General features: G+C 40.5%; 1 protein-coding gene across 50 annotated transcripts in view, besides 2 other annotated features; it reads right to left on the bottom strand.

The window, feature by feature from the left end:
* Positions 1–24,899, bottom strand: part of NEDD4L (NEDD4 like E3 ubiquitin protein ligase) — a 357,315-nt gene that overhangs the window by 35,860 nt on the left and 296,556 nt on the right. For 27 of the 50 annotated variants that reach the window (XM_047437406.1, XM_047437408.1, NM_001144967.3 and 24 more), the window contains 7 exons: positions 24,512–24,643; positions 23,884–24,003; positions 22,578–22,775; positions 16,067–16,144; positions 14,636–14,690; positions 8,429–8,487; positions 1,348–1,413 (listed from right to left, as the gene is read on the bottom strand). In XM_047437406.1, the coding sequence (XP_047293362.1) occupies positions 1,348–1,413; positions 8,429–8,487; positions 14,636–14,690; positions 16,067–16,144; positions 22,578–22,775; positions 23,884–24,003; positions 24,512–24,643 (708 nt within the window). Of the gene's footprint in view, positions 1–1,347; positions 1,414–8,428; positions 8,488–14,481; positions 14,536–14,635; positions 14,691–16,066; positions 16,145–22,577; positions 22,776–23,883; positions 24,004–24,511; positions 24,644–24,899 lie in introns of all 50 variants that reach the window. The other 23 variants (XM_006722426.5, XM_047437407.1, XM_006722428.5 and 20 more) reach the window with 6 other exon arrangements.
* Positions 15,708–15,767: an enhancer, noted in NCBI's record as "active region_13387". NCBI's record gives its function as "activates an Ori minimal core promoter by ATAC-STARR-seq in GM12878 lymphoblastoid cells {active_cell/tissue: GM12878}" and the evidence as "EXISTENCE:reporter gene assay evidence [ECO:0000049][PMID:35858748]".
* Positions 20,270–20,564: a silencer, noted in NCBI's record as "tiled region #8690; K562 Repressive non-DNase unmatched - State 24:Quies". NCBI's record gives its function as "represses a minimal TATA promoter and a strong SV40 promoter by Sharpr-MPRA in K562 cells {active_cell/tissue: K562}" and the evidence as "EXISTENCE:reporter gene assay evidence [ECO:0000049][PMID:27701403]".

Here is a 24,899-nt window from a genome sequence, read left to right as displayed (position 1 = left end):
GACTGTATCTGTTGCTTCACTCAAGAGACTTTAGCCCAGGTAGTCAAAACCTGTAATAATCCCCACCTGGCCAGGTTGGGCCTATCCATGCTCAACTGTGGCAGGGCCGCCAGGTGGTAGATATAATCCACGCTGCCTCAAGTCCATTTTGTTGCCATGGGGAGTGGGATCCTGATTATGCCAAGTGTGGGGAAAGCAGCCCAAAGCATGGTTCGCTGACATGAAAATAACAAAACACTTGACCAAGGTTGTGGCAACTGCCTCCTGCAAAGAGGCGGTCCAGGCTTGGTCTGGCTGTAAGAATGAATGTGCAGAGATGGTTTCCGGGTAGCAGACACTGCTATGTGAGAGCCATAGAGTGAGACTGGGTGATGACCACAGTCATCATCATTACCAGGGGACATGACTCACAAAGAAAACTGTGGAATTTTCAGTGATCATTTGAGTTTTGAAGGCAAAGAATCATTTCAATAGCAGTTACCCGCAAGCTCTTGAATCAGGACTTTGGAACAGAGACCAAAACCCCTAAATGAGAGCAGACATTGTGCCCCATCCAGAGATGTTCCCGGGCAGGAGGAACCAGCTGAGGGGAGGAGGCAGGGAGAGATGGCAATGGAGCCCAGGCCACCAGAGGGGGTCTGAGCTGCAGCCGCTTCTCTCCCCTCCCTAGAGGTGTAACCATAGTGATGGAGAAAATTGAAGAGAAAACTGCTAAGGAGGAATCGGAAAGTAAAACAGAGGATGCAATGTTGAACAATTTGGGGATGGTGTGTCATTAGAAAATGCAATGTTATAATTTAAAATGTTGCCCATAAAAATTTTTAGAGTTTCTAGGTTTTAAACTGCCAGGGATAATTATAAGTAGAAAATTACATTTGGACGTAATACTGCCAATTATTATAATTAAATATAACACTATATTATAAATACTGTAGTTGAAACTAAGCTTTTGCATTTACAAGGAAGGACTTGAACATTTTTCTTACCGGGATCCAGGTTAATTAAATATGATAACTGCGCATAATTGAATAGGCTTCCACAGATTTTGTGACTAGGGTTCTGAATTATTTTATATCCCATAAAAATCATTCCTGTCTTTTTATGTATTACATAGGAAATTACCCTTCAGGTGATTTGATATGTAACACTGAGTTAATTTTCACTTACCATTTCTGTTAAAAAGAAAATTCAGATTTTAGAACCAGGAGGATCAAAGTGCAGAGAGAAAAGGAAGGTAATATTTTTAGCATTCATATAAAAGTAACAACCAAGTTGTTCTCACTGAAGTGACTGTGGTAACTTACAAATGACTAACACAAAGCATTTTTGGAAGGCATGATTACTCACAGGTTTCTTTAATTTCTTCCTGAAGTAGTCATATTTCTGCTTAAATTCTCTGGAGTAAGGGACAGCCTGGAAGATAAATTTATAAATATAGATAATGCAAACAATACACCTGAAATTTTATGTATACTGAGGCAACATTCAAGAGAATTTCATGAGTCATAAACCGTAAATTCTCACTTCTCAGATTATCCATGGAAAAATTAGATAATGTCTACACAGCACAGGGGAAAGTCCTAGAACTGATGAGGGCTAATCAGCTTTGAATGCAGCTTTCACCCCTGAAAACAGCTATACTGCTATTTGAGAAACCATTTGGGGTACGCTACACAAACTAAACATGCTTTCCAAGTGACTTTTGTCAGAATATGAGTCAGGGTGTTTCTGTTTTTCTTTTTTGCTGTGGTTTAGGTAAGAGTTATTGGCTAAATACTTCTAACATACAACCCAGAATGACCTACGTTGGCATTTTGAAAAGTCTAATTACGGTTTAACGAATTTTTGTGGGGAAATACAACGAGCAGAAAGGGAAGTGAACTGACACTCCTATCAAGGAATATAAAATCAGGCAGATGGCATTCTCAAAAAATCCTCAATTTAGAAGTCAGAAGGTTTGTCCCTTAATATTTAGTGGTCTTGGGCAAGGATTTCTTTAAATCTCAAATGCTTTATCTATGAAATAGAGTGATAGTACCCCAGTTGAGGGCTCAGGAATTGAGTTAACTATAGTCATTCAAAAGTTGTGATATCTCTTCAGGCAAAGGAGTAACATGTTAATGTAGTCATTTAAATAATCTTTATTTGCTACCTTGTAAAGTAGCTTACAATATCTTAGAGTCAGGGCCGTGAGTTTTGGCTACTGAAAAAGCTTACGATATTTTTATGAGCAAAAAGGATTGGGTTTTGCATATACACAGACATTAACTATGACAGCCTCGAAAACAACTCATTGCTTTTTAGCCACTAGTATGAATTTCAGCAGAGAATACTTCTGCTGTTATCATTTCGGCCTAAGTTAATAAAATATACTGATCCTTAGTCTAGTATCTCCAGACTCCAAACCTTACACTTTCACCATACTTATCTTGACCAGAAACAGAAGAAATGAAGAACATGAACTTCCCTCTTTTATAGTTTTAAGACATGTTTATATAAAAAACCCGAAACAAAACAAACAACCACTCTTCCAGAAAATGAGCACGTCAGTGTTTTGCTCTGTAATTCCAGAGCAAAAAATACATCATCTTTATATAGCTTAGGAGCAATCTATAGACAATTTACACTGCCTATGGTCTTTTCTTAGTTTTTAAGCCAGTCTTCTTTGATTTTCCACTGAACAACAGATTTGACCTCACATCCTATTTATTTTAGGCAGTGTTTAGTCTGATGAAACCACATAGCAATTCTGAGTCTAGGCAAGGTATAAATTTGTTAATACCTGGACAACCACCAAAATAAGAAAAAGAATACAATGTTCTGACATAAGCCAATAAAGAGATCATGTTTTCTGCTCTACCAACAGTACATCCCGTCACAAACTAAGATTTCCTCTCTAGTTTATTTCTCACTTTCTGGTGTTCATTCTCGTCCATTCAACCGATACTTCTTGAGCACCTACTCTGTGCAAGGCATTTTAGGTGCCAGAAAAATAACAGTACATAAACCAAAGGTAGCTTTCCCAGTTCCCTCCTGGAGCTCACAAGCTGTTGAGAGCAACAGGCAATAGGAAATCAATGAATAAACCGTGGTAGTGCCATGAGGAAAAAAATGACCCCATAGGAACTAAAAAAGTGACTTCCTTCCACTCTCTCCTGCCAGCGTTAGAAGGCCTGCACTCTCGGGTAGACTCTCATCAGCTGGCTCTGCATCACATCCTCTCTACTAAGGAGTTTCTTCACTGTTAAGTGGAAGAATTTGACTGGATGAACAAACGTGACTCAGCTCTTCTATTTCTGAAAGTCTGTGATTCCCAGCAACTATTTTTTGTTTGTTCCTGTATTCGTGAGGGTTCTCCAAACATCACTGTTACATCACAGTTCCCCCTACTCCTGAAAATGTTGGAAAAAAAGCTTAAACAGTCATCACTGTGTATGCAAGTTCGACTGTCTTAAATGACAAATTCCCCAAGGAGCAGATTTCAACATGTGGCCCCCAGCCTATGATGCCCGTTCCCTTGCCTGCTCTGTCTCCTGGCAGGGGCTGAGGAGGTGTGGGCGGAAATGTTGAGATATTTCAAGCCTTTCTCCTTCTGGGGAATGATGCGTGAAAGCTGAAAAATCACTGTCTTCCTCTTGCATTCATTATCTTTTCTCTCCAGAGGTAGTTCTCATGATAGAATAAGAAGAGCAAGTTTTTACATTCTCTTCCTGAAAACTTTCCAACAACGTACCAGGACAAACATCCTTCCAGTGCAGCTTCTGAAGAGATTACACGTACATTTTTTTTTTTTTAATTATTGGACCAAATCATTTGTTCTCACTTGAAAATCTCGAATGTCATTTTCTGGCTTACAAGTTAGCTTGTAAAATAGGTCTACGTGAAAAATGAACATATCTGTTGATTAAAGCCCTTTTGCTCTGCATTAAATCTGTGTTCCTGTTTTGGGTACAGAATGAAAATCTGCCTTATTGTGTAGGTCGGTTCTAAATGTTTTCACATCATCACTGGCCGGGAGACATTGGAGCTCCTTGCACAGAAGGGCTCATGCCCGGCACGGGGACATCAGTGACACCAGCGCATCTGGGGCTCCGGTCCTGATTCTGACCCTTGCAAGGACTGTCAGCAACAGAATAAGCTTTCTGAGCTTCTGACAAATTGGAAATAACAACATTTGCCCTGCCTTTCTGAGGGGACGACTGTGAGTTTCAAGTCGGCTGATTATAAAGTTCTTGGAAAAATGAAAGTGTTACACAACATGAGATAGTGTTCATGACAGCAGCATGTGTGAACATCACTTACTAAATGCTATTACTAGTGATATCTGCTATACACAGAGCATGCTAACTTACAGGAATGCTGAACACTGAGCTGCCACAGAAAGGGTCCCCTCTCCCTAAAAATATGTAGAAACGCTAGGCCTACTTAGAACTGATATTTTTAAAACTTGGGAAGAGAAACTCTAGGTACTAGGTAAGCAGAAAGACTCACAATTAGAGAAATCAGTGGGCACTGGACCTAGACATAGGGGCTTGGGTTTTAATCTCCCATGGGGACACAGAACTTGGCCTTTGGTCTACATGATGGAGAAAGAACAGTCATTGTTTAAAACCTAACATCTGGAAAGGGGACAAGAAAACTCTACCCACCGGACCAGGGAAGTTGCAAGGAAGCTTACCTTCTGTCCAGGACCATAAATGGGAGAAAAACAAAAAGAAACAGACCTGTAATAAATCCATACTCCAAGCCTGTGCCAAAGTGGGTATGAGGTCCACAGTTATACTGACTGGGGGTGCATGAACCCAAGCTAAGAAGTTAACAGTAAATACAGGTCAGGACTTACAAAAGCCTCATAGGAAAAAAAAATGAGCTTGCTCATGCTCTCTCTCTCCCTCTTGCATGCATGTACACACACACACACACACACACACACACACAAATTATAAACTGAACTAGGCAATAATCTACACTCTTAAGGAGAGTCTACAGACGTAGTGGGAGATTTAATGATCCTAGGACCAGAGATAATAGAATAATCTCAAAGAGGCTAAGAAATAAATATCTTAAAAATAATAAGCAGATGAAAGCATCAAAAATAAATAAAGAGATAAAGAGAACAGGACAAAATAACTATGAAGACAAAAGCAAATTTTAAACGACCAAATAAAACTTTGAGCAATTAAATTTAGTCACTGAAATAATAAACACAATGAACTGATAAAGAGATTACAAAAAAAGCTTAAAGAATTAACTGGAAGAGCTAAGTAATAACTCACAATACAGCAGTGAGAGACAGAAAACACAAAAGTTAAGAGATAAAGCAGACAATGTGAAAGAGAAGTAAATGTCCAATAGGAGTTACAGAAACAGATACTTAGAGAGAATCGGAAAAATGCAGTATGTTAAGAAATAATAGCTGAGAATTTTCCAGAACAGAGGAAAGACACAATCCCCATACTGAAGAAGCCTGAGTCCAAAGCAAGATAAATGAAGAGAACTCCACACATAGGTACATGATGATAGCGAAATTGTAAAACATCTAAGACACAAATAAAAATTCAAAATCACTAGAGAACAGAGCCATTTACCTACACAGAAACGACAATGAGATTGACAGCAAACCTGTTATCATCATTTATGGAGGCCAGAAGACATGCAGGAGAATCTCCAAAGCACTGAGGGAAAATAATTTAACCAAGATTTCTATCATCAGCTGAACTTCAGAGAGGTCAAATGAGACCTTTTGAGTCAAAGACTAAGAGATATTACCACTCTCAGACTGTCACTGGCAGTGCTGCTGGGCAGAAGTGCTCAAACCTGAGGGGGCACTGGAATCCCTGGGAGAGCAGTTAAAACAAAGACTGGTGTCCCACCCCCAGAGGTGCTGATTCAGTAGGTCTGGGGTAGGACCTGAAAACTTGCATTTCCAACAAGCTCTCAGGCGATACTGATACTCTGGTCAGCAGACCACACAGTAAGAACCATAAACTGGACTAGGCTTCACTAAGATCAAAACTCACCCCAGAAAAAAAATGGATGGAAGAACCAATGGTGGGCAAACCAATGGTGGGCAAAGAAATTTGTCTACATTTGGTAAAATTAAATCAGTATGGACAGTAGGGAGAAAAAAGATAAAACATATTAATGACTATTTGACTATTAGGAAAGTTTAAAGCAAGGTAGTTTTAAAATTCCACCCAACAATGACGTGGCAAATGGGAGTGGGAAGAATGGCATTCAAGTTCCCTGAGGTCCTGATGTTAAGGAGAGTAGACAGTGATTCATTTTAACCCTAAGTCAAGTATGTGGGTTACACAGTTTAATGTGAGAGCTATAAGAATACAAATAGAAAGTACAGCCTGCAAGCACATAGAGAAAATAAAATAGAGAGTACTCTATCAATTGAACAAAAGGCAAGAAAGAAGATAAAATATCGCGAGAGAGAAAAGATATGCTAAACAGCAAATACGAACAGAGAAAGAGAATGTAGTTATATACACCTCAGACAACATCGACAGGGCAACAGTCACCACAGAGACTGACAGAACTATCTTGATTAGATCCAATAGCAAAATAGCAATGAGAATGTAGATAATTTGAACACCACAGGCTTGACCTAATGGACACAAAAAGAACTCTATATTCAACCAAAGACACAATACACATTCTTTTTAAAAAGAAAAAGAACATTTACAAAAAGTGATCAAGCTTCCAATGAAGTTTTAAATAAACATCCAATAATAAATATTCTCTAGACAATATTATCTGACCATAATGCAATAAAATTAGAAATCAATAAAAAAAAATGAATAGGCACAACCCTCCCATACTCTTAGAAACTAAAAAGCATATTTTAAATAATGTATAAGTCAAGAAGAAAAATCAAATGAAAATTGCCAAATATTTAGAACTGAATGACAACAAAGGCCAAATGTCTACACTAAGTTGATAACTACCTAAATACAGATTCTCCTCTATTGAAAGCAATATAATGAATAATAATAATAAAAATGAAGGAATAAACAAGGGTCTTTTATTAACAGAAAGCAGAGAGCTCTTTCTTGGGGGCAAATCTACTTGGCTTTATGATGCTGAGCAATTTTCAGTAAGATTTAATAAGGACTAGCAGTGTTTGAGTGACGGCCGGTAATTGATAAGTGATAAAAATATTTTGAAAAGGCTTCAAAGTTATGTCAAAAGTCTTCTGTCACTTAAAAAGAATAGTTTCTTGAATTTACCTTGTTCTAATGATGTAGAAGAGAAAATAATATTCCAATAAACAACTGTGACTGCGAATATATATATATCAAAAGGAAGCATCAGAGTAAGGCAGTGTTTAAGCCGCATAGAGAAAAAAGTTGACTGTTTTTACCCAGGTACTACTGGGCACTTTGCCTAGGAAATAGTACCCAAATGACTAAACAAATCCAACAAGTAACTAACAGGAGTCAGTTACCGGGGCACATTTGCAATGTAGTATCTTTTAAGTTTTCAAATGGATGTATCTTACTAATTCAAAACATAATTTGAATGGAATCAGATTAAAGCCATGAAATTGGAATTTTAAATCTACCTACTGGCCTCTTAGCTCAGCATGTGATATAACAAACTTCAGTTCCTTTTGCTCCTCTGGTCTAAGAATCCCAAATTTGCAATCTTCTGCTGATCGCAGTACAACTCCTGTAATTCCAAATTACCTCCCTGCACTCGTATAGCCACTGACAAAAGCTGGTGGTGTGCTCTCTGCTGATGAGTGTGGTCCCATTCTACAGACTTGTTAACAAGTGTGAGATACCAAATGTCTCCTGATGCTTCAGGGAGTGGGGTTCTCACACTGCCTTATGAACACAGTGTGCTACGGTGTTTTAAGAGGTCATCACGCCTGCATCAGAATTGATTCTTTTTCCACCCGGCATATATGAGGGGACCATGAGAACACTGTGGGTCGGCAGAGTTCCAAACTCTTAACTCTGCCAGCTCCTGAACTTAGCTATAATCTCACCCAAACTTCTACAGATTTTTGAAAGTTGTAAAAGATTTAAACTTTTGGCATACATTTACTACTCCTGGCCTAAAGAAATGATAACACTTTATGAAGATAGGGCTTGGTTTTGCTTCATATAAAAAGGAAGGGAGGGAATTTTGACTATACTTATAGTCCACCCTTTTATAAAGGAGAAGAAAAATGTTTAATTCTGCTGTCGTTATCAAGCTGTTTTCCTTTATAATGAAATCCATCTGAAAAGGCACATGCAGCTGTACCTCACCTGGAAACTTCAGTAAGGAGATGGCAGCAAAGTGCTCTGTTTCTAGTCAACTACTCAATCACCGTTGTCCCTTGACATCACCGTTATCAGTAATACACAAGAAACACGTAAACACGTAACCAAAATCTTATACTGAAGAGGCAGAATTTGAAAATACTGACCGGACCAGTAATAGCTGGGTTCTGCAGTCTTGGGTCTTCCCACTGAGTAATTTTGCTATCTGAAAATGTTAAAAAAAAAAAAAAAAAATCAGAACATTAGTTCAAATCTATTCTATGTAAAGAAAGTTTTGGAAGGAAGTATTTCTGGATTCTTCAAAAGCTGTCCAGTCCCCCACCCTGTGTTCTAAAGACAAATTAGTATTTCAGAGTTAGCAGGTAACTACAGTCTATATGGCAACCCCCCTCACATACTGTTTAGTTAAAAACACTCAATCAAAAATGCACAACTAAAGATAAACCATCTATTCATACTGTTTTGGGCAAATAACTTGCTAAAATGGGAATTATAAACCCCTGTTCTTTTAAGGATTTATAACTTGATCTTGATTTTCATTTAGTTGAAAAAAAGCATTTAAAAAGTCTTAGTTTCCCAAAAGGCTAACAAACACACACACGATTTTTTTTCTCATTTCAAATACTTTTCTCTTTACTTATGGTGTTGAAAAACTGCTTTCAATTAAGAATCCTGCATTGAACAAATGAATAATCTATTACATGCGTCACTCATATGCACACAAAAATCAAAGCAGCTTAGGCAGTCCAAAAAAGAGAATTAGATACAGCAGAGGAAGATTACAGAGCATGGTTTCTGTTTGGTCACACTGGCAAAAGGTGGTTTGCTTTCTTCCAAGTGAGTTAATGTGCACAAGACTGTTCAATGCTATCTATACCATTACTTGTGTAGGTGATAATACACAACAGCTGCCTTAGATCACTTGGTGTTTGTAACTGTGCATAATTAAAAAGACCTTACGGATTCCTGTGTGTGTACTAGGGTGGAGTGGAGGGAGAGAGAGTGCAATGGACTCACATGAAAGGTACGGGGGGTGGGGCACACTAGGGAGAGTAGGTTCTCCAGAGTTTTTGGATATCTAGGTTAGTAAAAAACAAAAAAAAAAAAAAAGAAGAAGAAAATTATTTGAAAAGTAAAGGGTGGCCAGGAGCAGTGGCTCATGCCTGTAATCCCAATACTTTGGGGGGCTGAGGCAGGAGGATCACTTGAAGCCAGGAGTTCGGGCCCAACCTGGGAAACATAGTGAGGACCCATCTCTACAAAAGGTTAAAAAAAAAAATTAGCCAGGTGTGGTGGTGTACGCCTGTAGTCCTAGCTACTTGGGAGGCTGAGGTGGGAAGATCGCTTGAGCCCAGGGGAAGGCTGCAGTGAGCTATGACTGTGCCACTATGCTCCAGCCCGATCTGCACCTGTCTTGGGGACCGGGGCGGGGGAGTGCAGGGGAAGAATATTGATTCTGTTTATTTTCTGTATACACTGTAAGTGAGCTGATAAGAATAATTAGTGAATTCTGTTTTAATGACCATATTAGGAATTTTAAAAAGTCTTATTATTATTTTAATAGAAGCAGAGGAAAAGCTAAAAAAAAAAAAAAAAGCTACCAAAGCAAGTGATGATTCTAGAATCTTTTGTTTTCATGCTGGCAGAAAATTTACATGAAAAATCTCAACTGTTTGAGAGAATCTTGATGGAAGCAAAAGGCATTTTTGGGTCCCTTACCTTTCACAGAAGACTTTGGAAAGTAAAAGTTGCTATTGTGATGGAAAACAAGAGAAAAGAAAACCAAATAAAGGAAACGGAGTACAGCTGAGTAAAAATTGCGCCTTAAAACACCAACTTGGATTATAACCGTATCAATGGATATTGTCATCAAAGCAGAAAATAAATGAATAACTCCTGACTCATTGGGATTCGCAAGTCCTCAGACCAGACCTGAACTTCAAGCTCCATCCTGGACATCTGCATCTGGGTTTCCCGTAAGTACTTCAGCTTAACTCTACCAAAACCAAACCTCTGATCACCCAACACCAAAATTGGTAACGTGACCTTACATTCCAATGTGCAGTATCACAATCCACTCACTGTCCCAATCAGGAACCTGGCCGTGTCACTCACTCTGGTGGTCCCGGACCAACCCTCTCTATTCCTGATAAGCTTCTTGCTAGAGGGCTCATTTTTTTTCCCTGAACTGTTCTCTGGGCGTCACTGGGAATTGTCTCACCCCCCAACCCCAGTTCAAGACATCTTCTACAGCTCTGCCAAAAGGATCTCTCTAAATAACGATTTCGACCCCATCCCTCCCCTCTGGGAAATCCCCTGGGAGCTCCCCACTGCCTGTGGCTTGAGCCCGAGTCCCCACACCGGGCAGATACCCTTTGGCTTGGCCTGTGCGCCCCTGCGGCACACTAGCTGTTTGGAGCAATGCTGCGTTTCTCGGAACGTGGCAGCATCTGCACATATTCACACACCTCCACGCATCCTAGGATCACTCTTCCTGGGGCTTTGACTGCCTCAATCCTACTCAGTGTTTGTCATCCATCTAAAAAGTGACCCATTCTCTCAGGGCCCCATCCCTGTGCCCAACCACCTCCCAAGCAGATGCAGTCCTTGCCTCTTCTGTTTCTGTGTAACAACTGATTCACTCCTCTAACACCTGAAATATCCCCTGCTACTTCCCACTGGACCTAACCTCCCCAAGGACAGGGACTGTGTGTTATTCATCTTTGCAATCCCCTCTCTACCACTTAAGACCAGTCCCAGCAGGTAACAGGAACTTAGTGCATTATTTTTTTAATGACTGAATGAAGCTGATGGTGAAAACAAAGTCCCTTTAAAAAGAGCCTAAGCTTTTGGAACAACACAAGTTTCTACATGGTTATGATAAAGAATTCTTCAGTGAAGTATGGTCAATGTATGAAAGTATGGGGTAGCCAGTTATCCTTTTTTTTTTTTTTTAAAGAACTTTGGCTTTTAAACTTGCTTTTCCTCTTTGAGATATATTTCCAATAAAAGGACAAGAAGGAAGTGGAAGGATGAGAAACTCAGTTTAGTCACGATGAACAGGTCTAGTAAGACTGTTGACAGGAAAGACTAAAATAGGACTTTACAAAATCACTGGAATTCAATTTTCTCTTCTAATGTTGTAGATAGGATACCTGTGGCCAATTACTCAGCTGCTGGGCCTGTCTGGTCTTTAAGAAGAATGACATCATTCCTACAAGATGTAGAGATTCAGTTTAAGACCTTCCTTTAACCTCCCACCTGAGGCCCAAGAGCCAGGAGCCATTCCATAGACAGCAAACAAAGGAATCGAGGAGTCTAAAGAGGTTAGTCTCGATCATTCGTTGCTCTTGAAATTAAATCTTTATGATGGCTGAGTATTGTTCATCTTGAAAATGTCTAACTTCTCAGGAAAAACTTACAAAGCAGAAATAATTAATTATTGAAAAGACAAGTGCATCTCATCATCTCATCTGTAATTCCAGGTGGACCCACGTGCCAGGTATGCTGGAAGACAAGATGACTCTAAGCAATTTACAAGATGACGGCACTCACGGCATTGTGGCATACGTGGGCATAACCTGGTTCCTGTCCTGTAGGCATTATGACAGCAAAATCAGATGCTGAGTTTTGCTATAAGATTGTTTAGAAAAAGAGGCTTTCTTCTGACAGAAAGGACATTCCTAAATGTTATCTTCCAGGTAATTCAACCCATTTGGAATGTATGTGTCAGCCTGATAAAGCCTCTTCAAAAGATAGGTATTCTGCAGTTTTCACAGACTGAATTTTGTGGAAAGGCAAATGACTTGAACTGTTTCACTGACGTGTACTGCTCTACAGCTTTCCATTGAGTAAACCTTGATGAATTATGGAGCGATGGTAGAAACGTAGCATGAACAGCTAAGGAGGCACTCGTAAACAAATCCTTTTCTTAAATGGTTTTTGGTCACTTAATTTATGCTATATCTCTTTAACAGAATCTTTCAATATGGTTGTGCAAGGGCAAAATAAATTTTAATCTCCAAGTCAATGGCCACAAATATATTGGCACAGCTTAGTTGCATCAAGCTCTGTACAGAGTATAATGGAGCCTCGGGGGTGCTGCTCTAGTCAAGTGAAATGAGGAAATGTTTGGGCAGAGTGCTGGAGTAACTGCAGAACTGATCAGGAGTAAGGAAAAGCCCAGGCATCTAGCAGGTAGTTACCTTCTTCCACCTTCCAGTAAGCCGGAGTTGCGCTAGCCTCAGGCCGGTGGGGGTGGAAAGCCGGAGTGGGGGCACCTACTGCTCCTCAAGTGAGTTCACTTCACTTTCTGATCAAGCACAACAACTTCCTAAGAGCTTCACCACTGATCCTCCATGAACCTGATTTCAAGTCACCAAGTATCAAGCATCTGCTATGTATCATACTAGGTCTATGACACCACAAGTGAAATAGTCAGTGATTTTCACTATTTTAACGCATGCTACGACAGCCCTTTGTAATTGTGTTTTTCTGTTTTTGGCTCCTTGCGGTATACGAAACACATTCACAACATTCTTTTTAGGGGGACCTAAGCATCACATCTCCAGCCAGAAAACTGTCACAATATTGTGTGCAATGCTCTCCATGCGTCACAGACCAGGATGTGTTACCAGTAAAGACCTGTTTTAGTAAAATGATCAGTATTATTCACACCTGTCTTAAAACTGTGATTGTGATGTATAAAAAATACTATAAAGGAAACTTTTTTCTTTTTTTTTGAGACAGCCTCCCTCTGTTGCCCAGGCTGGAGTGCAGTGGTATGATCTTGTCTCACCGCAACCTCCACCTCCCAGGTTCAAGAGATTCTCCTGCCTCAGCCATCCGGGTAGCTGGGATTGCAGGTGCACGCCACCACACCCAGCTAGTTTTTACTTGTATTTTTAGTAGAGACGGGGTTTCATCACGTTGGCCAGGCTAATCTCGAACTCCTGACCTCAACTGATCCTCCCACCTCGGCCTCCCAAAGTGCTGGGATTACAGGTGTGAGCCACTGCACCAAGCCGGAAACTATTATTTTGTTTTTCATGGGAAAAAGAGGTGTGGCCTCTCTCTCATTTTAGTAAATTCTCTTAAAACAATAAATAAATAGTATATTAAGGAAAAAAGTAGGGCATACACATACATGAAAGCAGGAAAAATACTTTATGCTTACTATGAAATTCTGGACAGTTGACAAATCTGCCCATTTTTTGATAAAAGACAAAAACTAAGTCTCTGCACCTTGAAATATCTGGTTTAAACAAAGGGTAGCTCACTCTTCTAAATACACCTAGGACTTCTACTTTCAGTTGAATTGTAAACTGCTGGTACTTTTGCTTAATTCCATTTATAATAAGCCCTCAACCCCCAGGGCCTGAAAGTGAAATTCTGTTCACAATGTCTCTGCCTCCTAGTAACATCTGAAAAACGTACTATGCCTATGAGATAGTGACCAGTCCTATACGTGTGAGGATTACTTGTGGCCAGACTTCTCAGCAGGTGGCTCATCAACGTGCTTTTGTTTAGTTATGAAATTGTGAAGCCAGGGAAACCCTAACTTTCTGTTCATGAACCAAATGAAAGCAAAGACCAAGATACTACCAAATTGCACTCATGGTTGAAACTTTACATCTATTTGAAGGCTTCTTTTTAATATACTTTTTCAGAAAATTTAAGGGACATAGAAATATGATTCCATGAAGAACATGGCACCTCCAAAAAGAATGAGAAAAAAAAAATCCCACTGGCTAAAAAGCAAACTTTTATTAGTTGAACTTTTAGTTGGAATGAGAAACCACACATTTTTTCATAGGTGCTGGAGCAAATGTCTATAGCAAATATACTACAATTTCCAGAAAATACATATATATTAGTGTTGTGGGTGCAAGGAAACATGCCGTGAATAGAAAATAAGGTCAGAGCGGGCATCCTGCCATAGGACCCTTGAAGGCAGTGTCTAAAAAACTTACATGCTGCTTCAAGCACTGTTCACAGATTTTTGACTAAATCATCATTTCTAATCTTATTTTCTATTACCAGAGTGTATTTATTAAATGTGCAAAAGTCAAGGGATCAACAATCAAAATGTGGTTTAAAAATTCAACAACAAAAAAAAACACGTTAATAGGTCACAAGATCAGATTGGGTGAAAGTTTGATGGGCTACTTTAAGCAAACTTGGGGTGAATGCACAGTACCGTATGAAGGCACTGATTCTCTGGTATCATTTTCTCCACATAACACCTGGCTGCCTAGATAAAGAGTAAAATGACAAAGCTTTCACTATGATGTTTGAATTACTCCTTCCCTCTAACCCACAACACCTGTGTGTCCATAACAGCGCCTACTTACTATGATCAATATAAAACGTTCGGCCATCCAAGTGAATTCTTTCTTCCCAGCCAGGCTAGTATCCGGGGAAGGAAGGGAGAGAGAAAATATAAACATTAGCTAGGAGTTCTGAAATCAAAGGCAACATTTAAAAACTATAGAACACCTCTGTACTCTTTTCTGCTAGGGTACATTTATGCATTGAGCGTGAACTAAATATGAACATTTCAAGTTAACTCTTGACCATGTCTAGCAACACGCTTTATCACATGCTCAGGTCTCAGATGCGCTGACTGTATGAAGAACCGGAAATGGGCTGCTAGCTCAAAAGCTTCAAAGGGAAACCGCAGCATTCCATGGAACAGTGGAGTTTGAAGTTGAGTACCATTTAATTAAATAAATACTGAGTACTAAAGGAAAGGAAGAGGGGGTTAATATAAAAATGTTAGACATGGTTAACTGTATTTGTGTTGTCCAGGCAGTTGATGATCTAATATTGGTATTATCCACCATGAACTTTTGCTAGTCAAGCTCAGGAACTAAACAGATTTGGAGAATTTTTTCAAGATAAAGCTGGTATGCCCTCATTATCTGAACTATCCATATTTGCTATCTGAACCTCAGGAATCCAACAGATTCAGAAAAAAATGCTTTCTTTTGTTTTCTAAACTAACTCTCTGGTTCTTTCTATTTGAACCCAGGAACCAAACAGATTTGGTGTGGGATACCTGTATAACCTAATGAATAATGATTGAACCTTAACCTTCGCAGCCTCCAATGTTGCCCTAATATACCAGGCAACAAAAAGGTTCTTACACTTGGAAAACAACAACAAAAATTCCCATTTAAAAATAGCCTTGGAGTCCAACCACTGCCCTGTCACCCCCTACGGCTTTTTCAAACTGAGAGTGAGTTGTTGAGGAGGATGTATGTGAAGGTTTCATTCAAAATCCAATTTTAAGTATATAGCTCAACTCCTACTGAGCCGTCACCAACAAGGGAGAAAAAAACTTTAAAAATCTGCAGGTTAAATGACTTATAGAAACTTTCTATGATTAATTAGGCCTTCTTCTCCCATACTATTTTCATTATTTTTGTTCTGATGACTTAATCAGCAATATGACTGAAACTCAGTGGTTGCTAAGTTACAAAATGAATGAGTGCCACTTAAATTGTCACCTGCAGAGAACGTCTCTTGAACATCCTGTGTACAAGGTCTATCTTCTGCTAGAAGCTAGCAATTCAGAAACCTCTTTCATAAGTACTGGATATCACATGAACTATAATGTATGACTACAATTCAGCTAAACACCCAATTCTGTTAAGAAACACAAACCAATGAGATCCACAAAGCCTGGAGATAGAGAAGGTCCACAGGGCCTCTCCATCAACATTGAGCGGATAAAGGAACACACATATTCAGACCATTCCATGTGTCTCCAGTGTACTCACAGGAAGGGGGCCAAGGTCATTGGGGTTTAAAGATGTCTTTGACCGCATATGTACTGGAAATTTCAAACGTGGATCTTCCTGCAAGAAAAATGTAAAAGACAGTAGATGCTAAGTGGAAGTATCTGTGTGCAGTTACTGGGTGCTTTTCTTCTTGAGCTGTTTGTTTCAAGGCAACCAGGCTGTCCATGCCTGGAGCGTGAGATGGGTCCCATCTCTGTTTTGTACAGGAAGCCTGGCTGACTGTCTCTCGAGACAGACTGTACTCTTCCTTCTTGTGCTTGGTGGAGAGAGGAGAGTAAGAATATTTACATGAAAGGTTAACCATTTCCCTGAGACCTTGAGAAGGGGAAGGGGAAGAGAGTCCCAGCAGTGATGTTACTAGGGAAACCAGAATGGAGGGTGCCAGTGAATGTGGCACAAAGAGGGAGTGGGGACAACGGTTTCGAAATCTCTCCATGGGTCCCGAGCTCCCGGTGAGGGGAGCCAGCCTAACACGTTAGGGAATAGGCCTCCCTGCCACACCCTCCTCCAGCACTTGTGCTCCCCTCCACTCCTTCTGAACTCAGCAGAGAATGTCAATCTGGTCTGTGAAGTCACGTGGCTACTCCAGGGAGAGTCGCTTTCATCAGGCAAACTCACAAAGTTATGATACAACTTTACTGAGATTCTTGACCAAGTTCTGCAGATTAAGTTCTCATTTATGTCTTAATATTTAAACGTTTACAAAATTTTTTTCTTAAAGCATAAGCTTCATAAGATACCACAGAGAATCAACAAAAGAGAAATATGTACTCTGACAACCTGGGTCAGGCTGCATGATTTATGAGGCATGGTCAGATGTAAAATCCTGCAACAGACCCTTGGTAGGAGGTTGGGCACATGGTCTGTTTCTTTAGATGAGGAAATGGAGTTTCAGAGAGAACAGGAAGTTGCCCAAAGATTATGACCCAGAGTCCAGGAGCTGACTCTCACTTATGTAGACCCAGTTAAAATGCAGTGTAGGCCGGGCACGATGGCTCATGCCTGTAATCCCAGCACTTTGGGAGGCTGAGGAGGTCAGGAGTTTGAGACCAGCCTGGCCAACATGGTGAAACTCCGTTCCTACTAAAAATACAAAAATTTCCCGGGTGTGGTGTGTGCCTGTAGTCCCAGCTACTCGGGAGGCTGAGTTAGGAGAATTGCTTGAACCCGGAAAGTAGAGGTTGCAGTGAGCCGAGATTGTGCCACTGAACTCCAGGCTGGGCAACAGAGTGAGACTCCGTCTCAAAAAAAAAAAAAAAAAAAAAAAGAAAAAAAAGAAAAAGAAATGCAGTGTAAGGCCAGATGCAGTGGCTCACACTTGTAATCTCAGCACTTTGGGAGGCCAAGGCGGGAGGACTGCTTGAGCCCAGGAGTTCGAGACCATCCTGGGCAACAAAGCAAAACCATATCTCTGCAAAAAACACAAAAAGTTAGCTGAGTGTGGTGGTGCATGCCTGCCTTAGCTACCTGAAAGGCTGAGGTGGGAGGATCACCTGAGCCTAGGAGGTCAAGGCTGCAGTGAGCCGTAAACTGTGATTGTGCCATTGTACTCCAGCCTGGGTGATGCAGTGAGTCTTGCCTCCAAAAACATAAAAAGGAGAATCCATATCTTTATACTCAAAAAAAAAACCACTATCAACCAAATAAGCTTAAGATTAAAAAAAGTAAACTGTGAAGACATTTGATATCAGCTTCATTCAATTTTATAATAGGGCCTTTGCTGCTGCCAAATTACTAGATTTTTCTGCTTCCCAAGTCAACCGTGTAAGTCATAGTATCACTGAATCATAATCATAGATCTTGGGAACTGGCAAGAATCAAAAAAGACCACGAACAACAAAAATCAACCCTTGCTTCTTGCTAGCTAGGTGAACTTTTAAATGAAGAAAGAAATCCTGTTAGCAGTTTGTGATGCATATTGACCCTGAACCCAATATATTTTTTTAAAAGGCTAAGCAGAGGCACAAAATAATCCAGTATTCTGCAGTACACTGACATACACAGAACATAAAGAAATATGCTAAGCTGATTTAGGATTGAGAAGGTCCAAGAAGCTGATAATCTGGTAAACATTCATGACTGGTTAACTACAGACAGAGGAAAAACTGAAAGCACTGAATTTCTCAAAAGCTACCCACTCAATGCTAACTCTGATCCGGACCAGGTAACGCCACAACCAGCGGGGGACCCTTGGGCTTCCACCTAGCCTATGACCATGCCAGATTTAGAGAAAGCTGAGGACTGCTATTACATGAAAGAGGGCAGGGCTTCTGAATGCTACACACAAGGCCAGCCTGACCTTGGAATCACATGTAGGCTACCGTGAAAGACAATCAGCCCTATTGGTAAAAGGCTGGTGATTTAAAGGGGGGGGGGGGGCGGGGGGGGCCGTAGCGTGAAAAGAAGCTGAAATTAGAGAAAAGTGTCAGGGAGGCAGTGAGGGGCAGAGCATGAAGTATAAAGTCAACCGAATTTCAAAGATCTGCTAAAGTGGCCTTGCATGGAAACCTAGACTTCATAGACTGTGAGGGCCAGAGGCCTTGAGGCTTATAATATTATTTTATCAAAAATAATAAAAATAATGGCAGCAGCTGCCATGAATCAGCTCTGAGGGCTAAGGCTAGTGGTCACCCTCAAGCCCTGACTCCCACCGAGCCACTCAAGGAGGCAGGCATCTCTCCTTAGTTGCCAGGGCACATGAAGTGGCGGTCAAGGCTCTCTATTAGTTATGGACAACTTCAGAGCTGATGAGAAAGTGGAATACTAACGAGGGCTCTGATGCAATGAAAATAAATGATCCAACGCATAAAGTGTGCCTGGTTGTTTCTTCCTTTCTTCAGTTTCATAACGGGAACTCTTTCATGTGTAATATAAAATTGCTTCCCTCCATCAAGTTCAAAGTGTTTTTAAACAGGATGCAAAGAGCAGTATCTTTTTAAAAAGGGCTTTCCTAATTCAAAATATATAAAACACAGGGATTAAAAAAAAGTGCCTTTTTTCTTTATCTTTTCCATCCTGGAAGAGACCAGCAACCACACCTAGAGTAATAAGTTTCATTAGTTTGAACTTGGATGGAAAACAAACCTGCAACTTAACTAGGGTGTAATCTTTCTTGCTACAAAAGCAAGCCCATGCTTCATCCTGTGAAAGGCACAAATATACTAATATGCGTTGAACATCCCTCACCCATAATGCTTGGGGACCAGAGGGGCTTTGAATTTCAAAATATTTGCAGTTATACTTACCACTTCAGCATCCCTAATCTGAGAATCTGAAATGCTCCAATAAGCATTTATTGCTTGAGTGTCATGTCAGTGCTTACAAGGTTTCAGACTTTGGATCATTTTGGATTTTGAATCTTTAAACTAGGGATACTCAACCCGTATACACGTGCTCTGAGCTGCTGAGGATGGAACATCCCTCCTTGGTACATCCCTCCCAAGCCCCTGGTCTCCAGCATGCATTCCCTGAAAGGCCTGACCCAGGCGGGGAACAAAGCCAATCTTTCTTTCTTTCTTTGAATGAAGCTAAACTTGGCCTGGCAGGGTGTCTCATGCCCATAATCCCAGCACTTTGGGAGGCCGAAGCGGCAGGATCACTTGAGGTCAGGAGTTCGAGACCAGCCTAGCCAACATGGTGAAACCCTGTCTGTGCTAAAAAAAACAAAAAACAAAAAACAACAAAAATTAGCTGGTGTGGTGGCATGTGCCTGTAATCCCAGCTACTCAGGAGGCTGAGGCAAGAGAATCGCATGAACCCGGGAGACAGAGGTTGCACTGAGCTGAGATTGTGCCATTACACTCCAGCCTGGGCAAGAGTGAGACTCCGTCTCAAAAACAAAAAAAATAATAATTAAAAAAAAGAGAATGAGGCCAAACTTTATCCAAATACTGATGGCATACTGCCTTCAGTATCTGTGTGTGTGTAAAAGGTCATCTTTCATGACATATTTCAATAAATTTTTTAATTTCTCAATGTATAGAGGGGAAATGTCCTGATACTTTTCAGGCTTCTGGTTGGTGTAAGAATCAACAGTGCCCAGGCCGATGGGGGAAGGAGTGTTATTTTCATCATTTTCAACCTGTCCTACCAGTTTTTTTCCTTTTTCTATTCTAATGCTCAAATCTAAGAATAGCTATGCTGTTCTCTCATTTGTTCTCTTCTTCTTTCAAAAATAAAAAACAAAGCAAACCCTAAAACCAACTCAAAACAGATTTTTAAGTTGCAAATTATCTTCATGCTTCCCTCCGGCTCTTCATCTTTTGTCAAAATGAACAGGCAATTTAGAGTGTGTCTTCCGCAGGGAAAATCCTGCCTAGGCCTTTGTTTAGAAGCGATAGCGCAGCTGTGTCAGCACATCTGAATTCGCTTAAGAAGGGGAGTAGCTTGTGGAATTTCCAGTTGTTACCTTGAGGATTTCCCACACTAGCAGCAGCAACAAAACGTTGTTCTAACAGATTATGATTTTAAATCAGTAAATTAGTCAATAACAAGTATCTGGGTAAACAGGCGCAACTGGAAAGTAAAAATGGGTTTCATTCAGCAATGTTGCAAGCAATAAATAAAGCGAGTGCTGTTTAATTTAAAATACAATCTGCCCAGCTGCAATTACACTGTTGTTGTGGCTTGAAAGGCTGTGAAAAGGTTAGGGGATTTGATTACCAAGCTAGTTAAAATTACTAAAATCATAGCTTATGTTGGCAAGCCACAGTGGCTCCTTACACTAATCCATCTACTTTTATATTCGTTAGCCCTTATTTCTGGAGCCTGTTTCTGGCTAAGGACTTGAAATTACAGCAGTGCTATAGTAAATGAGAACACTGGCAGGACAGCCAGGGGTTCCATGGTAATAAGTAAAAAGACATAAAAAAAAAGAACTCCATTACTATATTTTCCAACGAGCTGCCCGTCTCTTACTCTTGGCTTGCTTGCAAATCTGTAACATTATCTTCAGACTAGTAGGGGAGTCAAACCTACATGTTATTATATGCCTTAGAAGCAGTTATCAGTTTACCAAATGAATGTTACCAGATCTAAATGAGAAATTCTCTTGGCAGGCCATTCCCTTACTTCAAAATAGAAAGAGCTCTTAGAGTGGTTCTCACTTAGGGCTGTTTTGAAATGTGTAGGGCATTTCTGGTCATCACTATGTTGGGGTGGGGGTAATGGTGACCATTAGCACCTGGTAGCAGAAGCCAAGTTTGTTAAATAGTCTGCAACTGAAGGCACAAATGTCCCTGCCCCAAATGCCAAGAATGCCCTTGAAGACACAATGTCCCACGGTTCAAAGGATTCTAGGAGCACGCCCTCTAGACCTGCTGGACTGAACTGATACCACACAATGGGCAAGGCATAAAATGACAGCCCAAATCCCCTTGAGCAGGGCTTGTTCTTGAATATAAGGCTGCTGGTCTATCAAATGGACACACTTAATGTCCATCACTAGAAATGGGAATTAATGGTGTATGTTTATTGTTGGTCCAAGACCGAAGAGCTAGGGCCAATAACAATCACCAAAACTCAACCAGCATTCCCATAACATCAGTTTTGAGCAAGTAGCACAGATAATAGTAGGACCAAGTTAAACTCTGAGTTAACTCTAGCTAGACAATTCGATGGGGACATAACCGGAAGAAAAACCATCTGCAGCATCAAAAATAGCCAGAAATACGGGAACCGGTTTCAGTGTAATTACAGGTATAGAGATTATATAGCAGGAAAATACCAACTGACTTTTAAAAGAATCATATACTACACTGAAAAAGCCACCGATTCGGCTAAAGAAATAAAGAACTGACACAGAAATACAAAGATATGCATATTTGCCTTTGATTAATCTCATTTTGCTCAAGATAATACAATGTACAGATTCTTTCTTGGGTACAATTCAGGAGTACATGAAAGAGTTGCATGGTAAGAAAAATCAATTTTGACAAAATGATCACAAAAAGGAGCTATCAGATCTACAACCAAAGTCACTCAGTACATCCCCTACCCCATGATCAAGGGCATGAAAATGTACCTCAGATGTGTGAATACTGATCTGATGTGAACGGTAAAAACTAAAGCGACAAATCAAAAGAAGGTGGGTAATGCCAATGAAAGTGCAAGAAGAAACTGACAAAAGAAAAAATTATTTGAAAATGATTATAACTCCTAGTGAGATTACTTTGTGAGACGGGATCAATTAACAAAATCTTAACAGCACAGAGCAATACCTTTCCATCCAGCACGGTGAACTGTCTAAACTAGAGCTTCCCAGGAGAAAAGGCAGTCCCAGCACCAATACCAAAGACAGCTACCAGCCTGTGCCCACCCACTCCCACCCGCCCATTTATGCAGGGGCCAGATGCAGGCTGAGGAGACCCTCTGGAGACACCCTTTACAGTCAATCCAATTCCTCTGCAAGAACTACAAACACTAAGGAAATCAAGGAATTAATGCCAGACTTCATGATGAAAATGGAGCCAAATAAAAGCAGCAGCCTTACCCAGGTTGTAGTCTTTGTGTTATGATCAATGAAGAAGGGCCGGCCGTTTGGCGCTATCCTCATTTCCCAGCCGGGTGGCAAGAAGCTCTGTGTGACTTTGTGTTGTGGTTTGGGGGAGTTGTAAGGTGATGGCTGTGGGGACTGTGGGTTGGAAAGGGTGTCTTTCACAGCCCGACGTACGGGTGAGTCCTTGGCACCCTAAAGAATAACAATGAGGATTAGAACTCTTTAGCATGTGCGATTCCAATGTGCCAAAATGTACCTGGGTATTGCAGAAGGCTTCTCTTTGGAGATGGACAAGAGGGAAGATCCCCAAAACCTGTTTTCTGTCATTCATTTACTTTTAAATCAATCTAACTTTACATTTTCTCTGTTGGATAAACACACAACAATATTAAGTACTTATAACCACCATCCTTTGGTAGCTACTCAGTATGTACCAAAAATACTGTTCTGTACTAAGCATTATGGATGGAGATTTTACAGAGTGGAGAAAAATGTGCCCTTGCTCTTAATGAGCTCACAGTCTAATGAAGAACAGATTGGCAAGTTTTAGAGCACAAAAAGGAAAAAAGCTACATCAATAAATACAACGATCTGGAATCTCACAGTTGTTACCCATGACATTCATATCAGAGTGTGGAAGAGACAGCATCCATTCCCACTTATCAGCATCTGGACCCAGGGCGTGGAGAAGCCCACAGCTGTCTCTAAGACACAGTCAAGCTTAGGACCTCAAACATTTGCTCTTTGGCTTCTCTAACTCTGACATTTGTGATGTTAAAGGATGGCACCAAAACAACACAAACACGACAGAGAGCACAAGCAGATGCCCAGCCATGATGCAGAGATGCAAATATGCATCAGAAACATGTATGCCCATAGAATGAAAGACCCTACAGTCGAAAGAAAAACAAATGATCAAAGCAATAGCTATGTTTAAAAACTCAATATCAGCACTTGGTATTTGAAAGAGGGATTACGCAATTCTAATGAGGTAACAGGCAAAAAGAAGCGAAACACAACAAGAACGGTGGAAGTCCTGAAAAGAGAGTGCCCACGTCCAGCACAAGTCACCACGGCCTTAGCCAAATGAGAATGAGAATCAGGTGAGAGAGTCCAGGAATGTTAACTGGGCGAGACAGAGAAGCAGGTAGAAAGGCTGCACAAGAACACCCTTCACTACCAACACAACGACTGATCAGAGAGAGGAGGTGGCTGCGAAACTGAAGGCAGAGTTAAGAGAGAAGAAAGAATGGGAGTCACAGGACAGAGTGAGTCCAGTTAGATGAGGTAGCCGTCTCACCTCCAGCGGGGCAGATAAAGTTACTGTTGGCGAGCTGAGGCTACGAGGCCGGCGGATCTGAGGCTCGATTAGATGGTTGTTACTGTTTGTGGCTGATCCGGACGCACCATCTTCTGCAAGCTATTTTGGAGGCAAAAACAAGTTAGCTTCATAGGAGGATCTCCCGGTGTGTGTGATTAGGAGCGCGAACCCAAACAACAACGCAAACAGCAATAATAAGAGGTCTGGCCTATTTAAAGCGTGGAGGAAATAATTAAACATAATGATGGGGGAAAGGATGGGGAAACACATTCAAGGGAAATAAAAATGAATCACTAGCCCAGCATAAAAACTAGCCTCGGATTAAAGTGGGGGCTGGGCAGGGAAGAAGCTACACACTGCAATAGGCTCTTACTTTGAAAATATCTTTCACGTCACATTTTTAAAATATATTCAGTGATAAACTGATTTGAAAAGCAAATTCTTCCTTAGGCTATTATTGTATTTAAAGTAATGCATTTTCTTTGTGAGAAAGCTTTTACAAATACGGGTCTTTCAGAACAATACATAAACACCAGGAAAGGAGTTCGGTCATGTACATTTCGGCTTCTATGGCCTGCGGTTTTAAGTTGGATGGCAATCTTCGTACCTGCATGATAGGTCGAGTCCAAGTTGTGGTTCGATTGTTATGATTGACATAGTATGTGCGCCCCTTAGCATCTTTTCTTTCTTCCCAGCCTGAAGGCAGACCCGGCGTGGTATGTACATAGGCCACTGATGGCTGTTTGTGCAAGAAATCATTATTATTTAATACCTTGCATTTGTTTTCTGATCAGTTTAATAAAGTAAGGTACACCCAGATAATTATTTTCTCTAGACAAAGTTAATTAGATCTATTTATATAGAAAACACTTACAAGTGTCTGGAAAACAGCAATAGATTTCCAACAGCTTCAAATCTACTGTGAAATGAACCCCATACAGTTGCAGAGTCCAAATTCTTACAGAACTTGGTTCTAAGACCCCGTAGTCTCAAAC

Source organism: Homo sapiens, chromosome 18, assembly GCF_000001405.40.
Source record: "Homo sapiens chromosome 18, GRCh38.p14 Primary Assembly".
NCBI classification, from domain to species: domain Eukaryota; kingdom Metazoa; phylum Chordata; class Mammalia; order Primates; family Hominidae; genus Homo; species Homo sapiens.
This window is presented reverse-complemented; position numbering and strand designations above follow the sequence as displayed.